This window comes from Homo sapiens, chromosome X (assembly GCF_000001405.40).
Source record: "Homo sapiens chromosome X, GRCh38.p14 Primary Assembly".
NCBI classification, from domain to species: Eukaryota; Metazoa; Chordata; class Mammalia; order Primates; family Hominidae; genus Homo; species Homo sapiens.
The window spans coordinates 45,693,779-45,706,040 of NC_000023.11; positions in this window are offsets into that span (position 1 = coordinate 45,693,779).

A 12,262-nucleotide genomic window follows, 5' to 3' on the forward strand; every position below is an offset into this window, starting at 1 on the left:
TTGGATTTCAGAAGGCAAGAGTAAAGACCTTCACTCATTCAAGAAAAAAAATTATTGAGCACCTACTATGTGCCAGGCACTTTTCTAGGGACTTGGAACACAACATTAACCCAAACATACAAAAATCCCAGTCCTTATGAAGTCAAGTAGAAGAAAAATAGGAAACAGTGTTTCATTAGGGGAAGCACAGTGAGTTTTTTAGTTTGTGGAACTAATCTGTATTGAGTGGTATATGTATGTTGTTATGCATTTGTCAAAACCTACAGAAATTTACAGCACAAAAAGTGAACCTTAATGCATGTAAATTTTAAAAAATCAACCAGGAGGTCAGGGGATCCCAGCATGAGATGTAGACTATGACAGAAGAATCTAATGGTGTTACAAACGTAAGCCATAATTTCATGGAAGAGAATGGAGACAAAATATCCCGATCTAAGTCACTTTGAAAAATGGTGTTTCACCATACACCGTAAGACCAAAAACAAAAGGGATGATATATGAACACTATAGTCTAGTTGATAAGGTTGCTTGTCATAGGGGTACGGGTTAATAATTCTAACATGGCTGTACATGTATACTAGGATGAGCAAATAAATAAATGAGTGGTTGAGCCAGTCTTCTCACTGTTGGTGAGGAAGGTTCCAGATAAGCAAGGGGAGATTAGAATGGACTGACCCATGTGGTACTGGATTAGAGTCAGAGACATCAAGGTAAACTCATATTTAGCTTGATATAGATACAGATGGATAGATACAGAAGTAGTTGTAAAGATGAGTGCATACATGAGTTTGTATATACACATATATCTCTTAGCTCTGTCTTCTGAGAGGGCCTAAAAGCAAAGACACCCTAGTAGCAACAAGCATGCCTAGCTCCCAGATCTTGGTTTCTAATAATATTTTCTAATGAAAGAAACTGGAACTTCTTTAGAGATGTATCTTATTCTAGGGCTAGGGCAGGAAATATACACAATGAGCCTGGAGTGCCTTGAAGTGCCAGAAAGTAAGAAAGTGCTCAAATAGCAAAACAATGGTGGCATGTCAAAGGGACACAAGAGCCAACTGAAAGAGTCCCCAGTGGCTAAGGCTGGAACAATTTGAGCAACAAAATATATAACATAGTATTGGAATATAACCCAGAGTATAAAACAAATATCTGTGAGACCATACTGATATAAGTAAATGACTGAATAAATAAATGTATATATGTATATATTTATATGTATTTATATATTTACATATTTATATGTATTTATATATTTACATATTTATATGTATTTATATTTATATGTATTTATTTATAAATCCATTTATAAATAGGAGATATATATATATATAAATCTCCATTTATATAGGAGATCTCCTATATAAATATATCTCCTATACAGAAGTCCAAGTAAGATAGAGACTCCCTCCTCAAGGAGGTATAATCTAAGCCCCCACATTCTGAGCGTGGGCCGTGCCTAGTTACTTATTTCCAGAGTATGAAAAGGGAGGGTAAAGTAATTTTATAATGGTGAAACCTGACAAACACTACCATAGTAGATCAAAGTCAACATCAACAGTGATAAATCACGTTGATTAATAGTATGCATCCTTGATATAATATGATGAGAAGTACTTTCTACCTCTATGCCCGTACTCCCAAAAACCTCCAGTCTAAACATGAGAAAAACTTTCTACAAAACACCTGAGCAAAACTTTTCTCAAAACTGTCAAGGTAATCAAAAACAAGGAAAGCCTGAGAAACTACCACAGATTAGAAGAAGCTAAGGAGATATGACTGAATGCCATGTGCTATCCTGGATGGAATCCTGGAATAGACAAGGAAAGCTAACGAAACCTGTATAAAGTAAAAGTATGGAGTTAAGTTAATAACAGTGTATCAATATTGGTTCCTTAGTTGTGACAAATATAATATAGCAATCGAAGTTGTTAACAATAGGGAAAATTGGTTTAGGGTCATACACAAACGCTATTATTTTTGCAACTTTTCTGTAAAGTTAAAAGTATTCTAAAATAAAAGGTGTATTTACATTAAAATAACAAAATAATTACAGAGATTTATTATAAGCCCTATGGAAAAAAATAAAACTGGGTAAGGAAGACTGGCTGTGGAGGGAGGGGCTGGGTTTTATTTTATAGATAGTGGTCAGGGAAGAGCTCTCTAAAGAGACATTTGAATAAGCATGAGTAGCAAGTCATGTAGACACCAGGTGGAAGAGCATGCCAGGAAGTGAAAACAGGAAAAGCAAAGGATGGAGGTGGGAGTTCAGGAAGGAGCCTACTGAAAATAGCTCAGGTGCAACAGAAAGAAGGTCTGAACCAGGGCAATGGTGGGAGGCAAGAAGGACAGGGAGCAGACTTGAGAAGTCCTTATTTCATGGACCAGGAAGAAGAAAAGAGGAATAGTCCGGAAAGAGAATGGCCCCCAGCACCATGCACAGCTATCATGCCATTGTGTGGCAATGCTCAGAGTTCTATGGCTTTGCACAGTTCCACATGGCTTCGCATGGTACTTATTGAATCAAGTCTTCACTGCAACCCTGGGGTTCTAGTCCACACTTCTAAGAATCAGGACATTGCACCTCAGGTTCAGATTTGTTCAACTCACATCTTGCAAAAGCAAACTGGAGACTTGAAACTAGGCTTTCTGACTATGTATCCTCTGATTCTCCATCTTGCCCTCTGTCCTCCATACCTTCTATGACATTACCAGGGTATCATGGAGGAGGCTAAGACTGTGAATTGCAGAGTCTAGGAAGTTTGATGGAACAAAAGTCCACCCCTAAAACCCTGGGGGCAGGTCCTGGCCCAGTTTAAGCCTGACTCAGAGAGAGACTTTTAAAAAAAGTTGTATAAGTCCTGATATTAATAATGTTTCTTCATAACCTACATATAAAAGGTCAGAAGGACAGGTTTCTGCTACTATCAAGTCTAGACTTCTGGCCATCCTTTGCTATCCCAAATGGACCTCAGGGCCTCATGCCACACATTGTGTGTATGTGTGTGTGTGTGTGTGTGTGCGCACACATGCATGTGGCTGTATACCTCCTAAATTTCTCCATTGTGAAACATACAGTCCTCTTTCTCTTTTTCCAATATATACACATGTTCCTAGAGTCCCCAAGGGCTGTAACTGCTCCAAGCAATTTTTTCCAAGTCAAAAGCAGCTGGCTGTCTCTAAGTGATGAGCTGAGAGTGAAACCAACTTCAGGAAACCGTCAGGCTAAAGCAAGCCCTTCACAGCCCTCAGATCTTGAGGAGATAATGGTGGAGACTGGGAGCAGAGCAGAACCCCAAGCTCTCTATCTGAAGTCACTCTAAATCTATTTGATTATCAGAACATGTTATCATTAAATATTATCAGGTTTCAGAATCCTTAGGCCCCTGAAGCTGTTGGCCATGTCCCAAACCTAGTGTCACCCCTCCCCTCAGTCCTCCAAACCAGGATTTCTTCTCATCCCCTGAACCCCACCTTTGGCCATATCCTTCTGAAAGATTATATGGAGTGCCCTTTAGCATTCTGGAGACTTTCTGAGTATTGAGCTTTGCAAAAGAGAAACAAATCTTGAAGCAATGAGAAATTTGAGTGTGTGGAAAGATTTTTCTCAAGTATGTATTGGCCTCAATGAGGAAAATGCATGCTTATTAAAATGTTTAGTTGGTCATAATAATTTAATTTTTCTAACAATATAATTTAACTTGATCATTCTTCATTTATGTATAGATTTTTAGAGCAGTGTTCTCCTTCCTTCTCTTACTCTCTTTTCTCCTTTCTAAAAGATACATATTAATCTCTGGGCTTCATTGCCTCAAAAGTGGATTCAAGAACTTCTTCAACTGTTAAGTTACTCCCTGTTCCTGAAGGGAAATAATTGGAACATCACCATCTGCAGCCATCTTGGAGAAAGACATGATTTTGAAGGAAGGCATTCAATGAAATAACATTCTGATTTGAAGTTAAATTGTCCAAGAGCTAACTTCCTCGACAGCTCTGATTCAGGCCTCCTAAAATGTTGCACACTCTGACTCATGCTTCCTTCTGGAAATGACAAAATTTCCTCGCCACCCTGATCTAAGCCGTCTGTTCTTGGTCCTCCATGCTCTCAGGAAGGGATTGGGTCGTATGTTACATTTTTTCCATGGTGGGCAAGGAAACTCATCTTTTGTTTTTTCAAAGGGAGAAACATACACACGCGCGTGCACACACACACACACAAGAATGACACACTGAAAATTCTGAAAATTAATACCAGGCAGAGCACCCCCACCCTCCACACCCCTGGAAAATAAATGCTGTTTAAGAATTGTAGAAACAAAAGGGAGTTGATTTTTTAACCATTTATGCTCCAAATATTTTTTTAAATGTTCAATTTTCTAAAGAAAAAAATATGTAGTAACTTTACAAAGCTAACATGTTTTATTAGTTAAGGTGGTCTGAAAGAGCTTGGATTTTGTAGGTAACTAATAATCAGTGTTGAGCATCACTGATCCATTTCCCAGGGAGATTGCATTCCCTTTGTCTCTGAAGAGATGCTTGGGGGAAAAGCCATGTTGGGGAACAGAGGAGAGGAAAAGGAGGAATAAGGAGAGGAAGGGATGCAATTGACAACAATATTTTTGTGGTACTGAAATCTGTTCTAGACTGTCCCATAGCAGCCTCAAATATAAATACGTGCCAATCTGTATCTTATAATGTATAACCCAGTACTCATTAGAAACACTACTCACTGGAGTGAAAAAAAGCACCCAGAATATTAATTCAGTATAAAGATTTACCACATAGTAAATAAGGATTTATTCTGAGGATAAGAATTTTGAGACCAGAAGTTTAAGGATATTTTTCTATATTCTCAGCTATAATAAATTAAAATTTTGATAAATGCTATATATATAATGTGTATAAAGTGAAGAATGACTTGCATATATATTTACATAGCCTTACATTTGTCCTCTCAGAGTGTCTTCAAACATGAAGATTGAGAAGGAGAAAATTGCCTTACACATTCTATCTCTTTTACTTTCCTCACAACAAAGCTATGGGCATCAGTCTTGAGTTCTATTCTCAGCTCTGCTACTGGGTTATTATGGGCTAGTAATTTAATTGAAAATGGAAGAATGGATCAGATGATTCCCAAAGACCCTTCCAATTTGAAATTCTATGACCCGATGTTTTGTTTATCTCCATGGGATGTTTTCTGTTTTCAAAGAAGACGCTAAGATGTATTTCCTATTCCTGTTAACAGCTCTTGACTGTGAGCTGGGAACCCCAACGGCTCTGCCAAGCCCAAGTCCTAGGAGATAAGGCCTAGGAACAGGGTATTCACCTTCCCTACCCCATCTGGACCCCTCTCCACTGGCAGATCAGATGGCCCATGGCCTGAATCTGCTAGAGGTGTGGAGGTCTGCCAGGACCTAATGGCAGGATCCTTATGCTCATCCTTAATCACTATTAATTTGCGTTTCTTTCATATGACTTTATGAGTAAGTAAGAGAAGTCCCATTCATTCCACATGCATTTATGTGTGCGTGGTGTATGTATGCTTAAACCACTGTACTGAACACTGCGGATAGAACAAAGTTGGGTTTTCCTGAGCCCACTAGTAATTGTGCAATTGTGGTTTTGATTAGGGAGACAAAGAGACTCATAGTAGAGACCCACCATGGCCTTTGAAGTTTCACCAGTAATGATTCACTGTTTGAATCTTCTGGGCTTTTTGGACTTTCAGAGTGCTCTATTAAAAAATTCTTTTAAGTACTTGGAAGGAGGGAGAAGCCCACTCAATGGCCCTGAAGGAATGAGATGAAGAGGAGGAAGAGCTGGGGAGGGGTGAAGAGATATCAGAGAAAGGCTGGTGTAATTAATGAGGGGTGTGGATAATAAATAGGTCCCAAGAGGCCAATGCTTATAGAAAACAAAAATTTCAAATGATACATTAAACTAAGATCTGTATTCTGATGGTAGTCTATATCAGTTGCTCAACTGGCCAGCAAGCATGGAGCTCTTATTATTTTCCAGGCTCTGTTCCAGATGCTGGAGATACAGCAATGAACATAACTCTGTTGGACTAAAGGAGCTTTAAGTATAGAGAGAGAAAGAGGGGAAGGGAGGGAGGAAAGAAGGAGAGAGATAATTTTCAGAGCTTAATAATGACCAACCACTAAGAAAATAAAAGAGAAAGATAGTACAGGTTGTGAGTGGGGAGTACAGAAGGAGGTACTCTAGTCAGGATGGTCACAGGAATATTTTGTAGGAGCTAGGGCCTGAATAATGACATAGAGGTTAGCCTTGTAGATTCTGGAAGGAAGAGTTCTGACTTGAAAGAACAGCAAATGCAAAGCCCTTAACGGCCTGCTTAAGAGTCAGAAAGAAAGCCAGTATGACTGGAGCACAGTGGATAAGGAAAGAGGGTGGTAGAATATAAGGCTGAAGAAGTAGGCAGGGGCTAGCTCATGCAGGACCAGCTGATGTAATAATAAGAGCAGCTAACATTTATGGCATCCTTGGACAGTGCTAACTACTTTCTAGGGATTTGCTTCTTTTCTCCTCACACCTACCTCATGAGATTATTGCTATTTCCAGTGGTCACACAATCCGTGGTAGGTGCTAGAGCTGAGACGTGACCCCACAGTGGTCTGATCCCAAACTGGTTTTCATTCTCAATTTATTGCTACATCAAAAAATATAAGTGCCTTAAAAACCGCTTTGGGGACACATGAATGAAGCATACTCAGGATCATCATCCATCATAAGGTCTAGAAGGCACTATGAAAAGGATCCTCTTTGTATTAGTCCGTTCTCACATTGCTATAAATACCTGAGACTGAGTAATTTGTAAAGAAAAGAGGTTTGATTGGCTCATGGCTTTGCAAGCTGTACAGAAAGCATGATGCTGACATCCGCTCAGCTTCTGGGGAGGCCTCAGGAAACTTACAATCATGGTGGAAGGTGAAGGGGAAGCCAGCACTTCACATTGCCAGGGCAGATGCAAGAGAAATGGGGGAAGGTGCTACACACTTTTAAACAACCAGATTGTGTGAGAACTCACTATCACAAGAACAGCACCAAAGGGATGGTGTTAAGCCATTCATGAGAAATCCACTGCCATGATCAAATTACCTCCCATCAGGCCCCATCTCCAACACTACGGATTACAATTTGACATGAGATGTTGTGAGAACACAGATCCAAACCATATCATTCTTTAAAAGTCTGTGTAACAGTGGAGAATGGTGGCTGGGAGTACTGCCACTGGGTGGCTACTTTGTCTACTTCCTATGGGCAAAATGTCAATTTCCCTTCCTTCGCTCACACTCAACCCCCATACCACCCAGCACCACCCAATACGGTGCCAAACTGACTCTGACATCTCTTTAAATGCATTCCCTGGAGGCACTGGAGAAAGGCAAGAAACATGCTGGACAGAGCAACAGGAGCCCTTGAGTTGGGCTTACTCCTGCCTTGATCACACTGAAGAGTTGTTGAAAATAATCATTTATCTTTTTCAGCTTCCCTTTTCACACCTATGAAACAAGATTGTTCCTATTTGGAATAATGTAACAGTAGGCAGAGGTAACTCAGAAGCCCCCAGGAGATGCTGTAAACTTGATACTTTAAAGGAACTCATCATGTTAACTGGCTGAACTGCCATCCTTAGACCCCACTGAAATTTGCAATGTGACTGCTATAGTAAGCAGAATAGTCCCCAAAGATGTCCATGTCCAAATCCCTGGAACCTATTTATGAAAGTGTTATCTTACACGGCAAAAGGGGCTCTGAAGATGTGATTAAATTAGGGATCTTGAAATGGGGAAATTAGCATGGATTATCAAGGTGGGTCCAATGTAATCCCAAGGGTCCTTACAAGAGGGAAGCAGGAGAGTTAGTGTCAGAGTGGTATGATGTGAGAAGGACTTAACCCACTGTTAATGGTTTTGAAGATAGAGAATGACGCCACAGGCCAAAGAAGATACGCAGCCTCTGAAAGCTGGGAAAGGCAAGGAAATGGATTCTTCCCTGACAGCCTCCAGAAGAAACTGTGTCCCTGATCGGTTCCTTCTGATGGGTTCTTGGTCTCGCTGACTTCAAGAATGAAGCCGCGGACCCTCGTGGTGAGTGTTAAAGTTCTTAAGGATGGTGTGTCCTCAGTTTGTTCCTTCAGATGTTCAGATGTGTCTGGAGTTTCTTCCTTCTGGTGGGTTCGTGGTCTCGCTGACTTCAGGAGTGAAGCCGCAGACCTTTGCAGTGAGTGTTACAGCTCTTAAAGGCGGCACGTCCAGAGTTGTTCTTTCCACCCTGTGGGTTCATGGTCTTACTGGCTTCAGGAGTGAAGCTGCAGACCTTTGCGGTGAGTGTTACAGCTCATAAAGGCAGTGTGGACCCAAAGAGTGAGCAGCAGCAACATTTATTGCAAAAAGCAAAAGAACAAAGCTTCCACAGAGTGGAAGGATTGCAGCTGCTGGCTCGGGTGGCCAGCTTTTATTCCCTTATTTGGCCCTGCCCACATCCTGCTCATTGGTCCATTTTACAGAGCACTGATTGGTCCATTTTAGAGTGCTGATTGGTCCGTTTTTACAGAGTGCTGATTGGTGCATTTACAAACCATTAGCTAGACACAGAGCTCTGATTGGTACATTTTTACAGAGTGCTGATTGGTGCACTTACAAACCTTTAGCTAGACACAGAGCGCTGATTGGGGTGTTTTTACAGAGTGCTGATTCGTGCATTTACAAACCTTTAGCTAGACAGAAAAGTTCTCTAAGTCTCCACTTGACCCAGGAAGTCCAGCTGGCTTCACCTCTCAAAACCATCCCTGCTGACACATTGACTTCAGCCTACTTAGACTGATTTTGGATTTCTGGCCTCCAAAATTGTAGGATAATAAATTCGTATTGTTTTGGGCCCCTGAGTTTGTGATAATTTGTTACAGCAGCAACAGGAAATTCACACAGTTGGCCTGAGCTTTGACAATACCAGTATTAACGTTTTATCATAAAGTCTCATAACAAAAACTCGGAGAAAAGTTTGAAATTTGTGCCTCACAACTTGTTTCCTTAAATTTGTGCATTGATTTCTGCATTGATTCATTCGGACATTGTAAAGAGTCACTCTCCCCCACACCTTCACCCCTGTTATCCTGATTTCTTCTGCAACATCAGGTTTCTGTCACTTCTTACCTCATAAGACACTGTTCTGCAGAGGGAAAACATAGCTGAATCAAAAAGAAAAATCCATCCATATGCAAGACTAGTTGAGTTCAGTTTTAGAGAAATGTGCCATGTATCAGCCCCATATCTGTTCTGTGAAGGACGTGACACAAGAAGGCGACTTTTCTCTGTGTCTCTTGAATGGCATTCCGTGAAAGTACAGAATTTTCTTTGGATTCCAGAGCCACGTACAGTATATATTGACAGATCTCACAATGCTCATTCATTAGCTAAATACAATGAGAGCTGCGAGGGCTTTAAAGCAGAACTGTAGCCTCCTAGGTCAGTTGCAGGGGCATCTTAAAGGGATCACTTTACTCCACCTTATATCAGAGTAAACATCTTAGAAACAGGATATGGTAGGGGTCAGTCCTTTGCTAAGTTAAATCAGGTCCTCTTTGAATCCCTGTAAGTTCCATCATGTCTGTAAATGAATATAGAAAGGCTGTCTTCTCCTGACACCACCTTGGAGAACTGAAGAATAGACTTCTTGGTCTATCTCTGTGAGAAGAGCTGGGCTGCTCAACTTCTGAGGCTGGACACATGAGTTCCATTTCCCATCAGCTTGAGCTGTGCCAACATTTAATGAAGCTCTGAAGCTACAGTTGCTATAGAAACCAACCAAGTAGGCCAGGTACAGTTGTTCATGCCTGTAATCCCAGCACTTTGGGGGGCCTAGTTGGATGAATTGCTTGCACCCAAGAGTTCGAACCAAGCTTGGGCAACATAGCGAAACTCTGTCTTTACAAAAAAGTGCAAAAATTAGCTGGGCATGGTGGCACATGCCTGTAGTCCCAGCTACTCGGGAGACTGAGGTGGAAGGATCTATTGAGTCCAGGAGGTTAAGCCTGCAGTGAACCGTGATCATGCCACTGCACTCCAGCCAGGATGACAGAAGGAGATCTTGTCAAAAGAAAGAAAGGGAAGGGGCCGGGCGCGGTGGCTCACTCCTGTAATCCCAGCACTTTGGGAGGCCAAGGAGGGCAGATCACGAGGTCAGGAGATCGAGACCATCCTGGCTAACACGGTGAAACCCCGTCTCTACTAAAAATACTAAAAAATTCGCCGGGCACCGTGGCGGGCCCCTGTAGTCCCAGCTACTCGGGAGGCTGAGGCAGGAGAATGGTGTGAACCCGGGAGGCGGAGCTTGCAGTGAGCCAAGCTAGCGCCACTGCAGTCCGGCCTGGGCGAAAGAGTGAGACTCCGTCTCAAAAAACATAAAAAAAATAAAATAAAATAAAATTTAAAAAAAAAAAAGAAAGAAAGGGAAGGAAGAAAGAAAGAAACCAATGAGATGTTGATATTCTTAGATGGTGCCACCTCACTCCAGCCAGGATGACAGAATGAGATCCTGTCAAAAGAAAGAAGGGGAAAGAAGGAAGAAAGAGGGAGAAAGAAAGAAAGAAACCAAGGAGATGTTGATATTCTTAGATGAGATAATTAAATAATTTGAAAGTAATTAGCTACATCAAATGAAGATTCTGTGTGAATTACACACTGTGGATTTCTTTCCAACCTAACACTGAGTAGCAAACGCTGCAGTTTAATGTCCTGTAAGAAAGTTCTTCTTCAGCTTTTTTGAGTTTAAAACAGTAACAATCACAGGGATTTTTTTAAGACATAAAGCCTTTTTGGTTTTCAAGTTAAATAGTTGACTAAATTGCCTTCATACATCAAAAATCTTTAAAAAAAAAGACCTTGAAAGATCAATATAATTTTCCCTTCTTGTTATTGTTATAACAATATATTCCCTTCTTGTAATTTGTTATAACCTCAAATTACAAATCCCATTTAAACTTCTCTTTTCTTTGAAGCAAATCAGAAGCAGGAAAGATAAACTAAAATGTTGGTGCAAATATGGTGCGTTTTTAGAAGTGCAAAAAAGTCTGCATGTACACAATTTCTAAGTATTACAAGTATTTTAATTTTTTTCAGAAAGCTGAACACAAAGGAAATCTACTTAACCTTTAACCAAAACATTCTCATATTTGCTTTTCTCTCCTTCATTCTCCACGATTGGAATGCAGCAAACATAATTTTTTTAGTGAATTCCTGCCTTGTAAATCAAAGATATTGGTGATGTTCCTCTATGTATCAAGTTGCTTAATGAAGATCCCATATCCTTTAAGAGTTTGTAGCATGTTGAGAAAATTGTGGATACTTAGATGTTAAATAACAACTGCTCAATCCAGAAGTTTTCACTAAATCTAGGAGCCTTTTTTTAAAGGCTTTTTAAGTGGTCAAGGTACATTAAACCTGGAACTAAAAGGTCACTAAGAGGCTCCAAGACACTCAGATTTTCAATGAAGTGTGATTCCCTTCTGGAAGACACATGAGTGAGAGAAAGGTATCAGTGCTGATTATCTCTGCACAAATATTTTTAGGGAATGGAGGAGGGGTGTTTGGGGGCACAAGGCCCTTTAAGGCCAGAAATAACAACTTAAGGGCTGCAGGCTGATGCAGGCCACAGACACCAGACACACACACATACACACACATGCACGCACATGTGTATATATAATGTGCATATATATACATATATATGTGTGTATATATATTACATACATATATACTACATATATATATATATATATGACCTGCATGATGTGTTAAAAACATTTTAAATTACTTGCCACTACTCAAAAACCAGGACTGAAATCTGGATTTGCCACTTCTCTTGAGGATCTGGCCCCCAGGGCCACGTTCCCTTGTAGTAACAGCTGACCATCAGTCTCCCTGGCCCAGCCTCACTGATTTGTATTCCCTGCCCAACCTATATGCAGGCTCATGGGTTGGTAAGCCCAGCTTGGTGTGTGGGGAAATCCGGCCGTTGCTTCTCTGGTAATACCGGAACATTCATGTCTGCTGATGGTTCTGCTAACTAGGAACTCTCGGTCCTCCATGTCCTGGGTGAGAAGTGTCTCAGCTCAAACCCCTCTTGGGAAAATTCTAGGAGCTCATAGTGAAATTGAAAAAATTGAGAGACCTCGTTGGTACAGAGGGAATGCTTAATGAAACCGTGAGTAGGTCCTAGTCTCCACAAGTGTTTTATC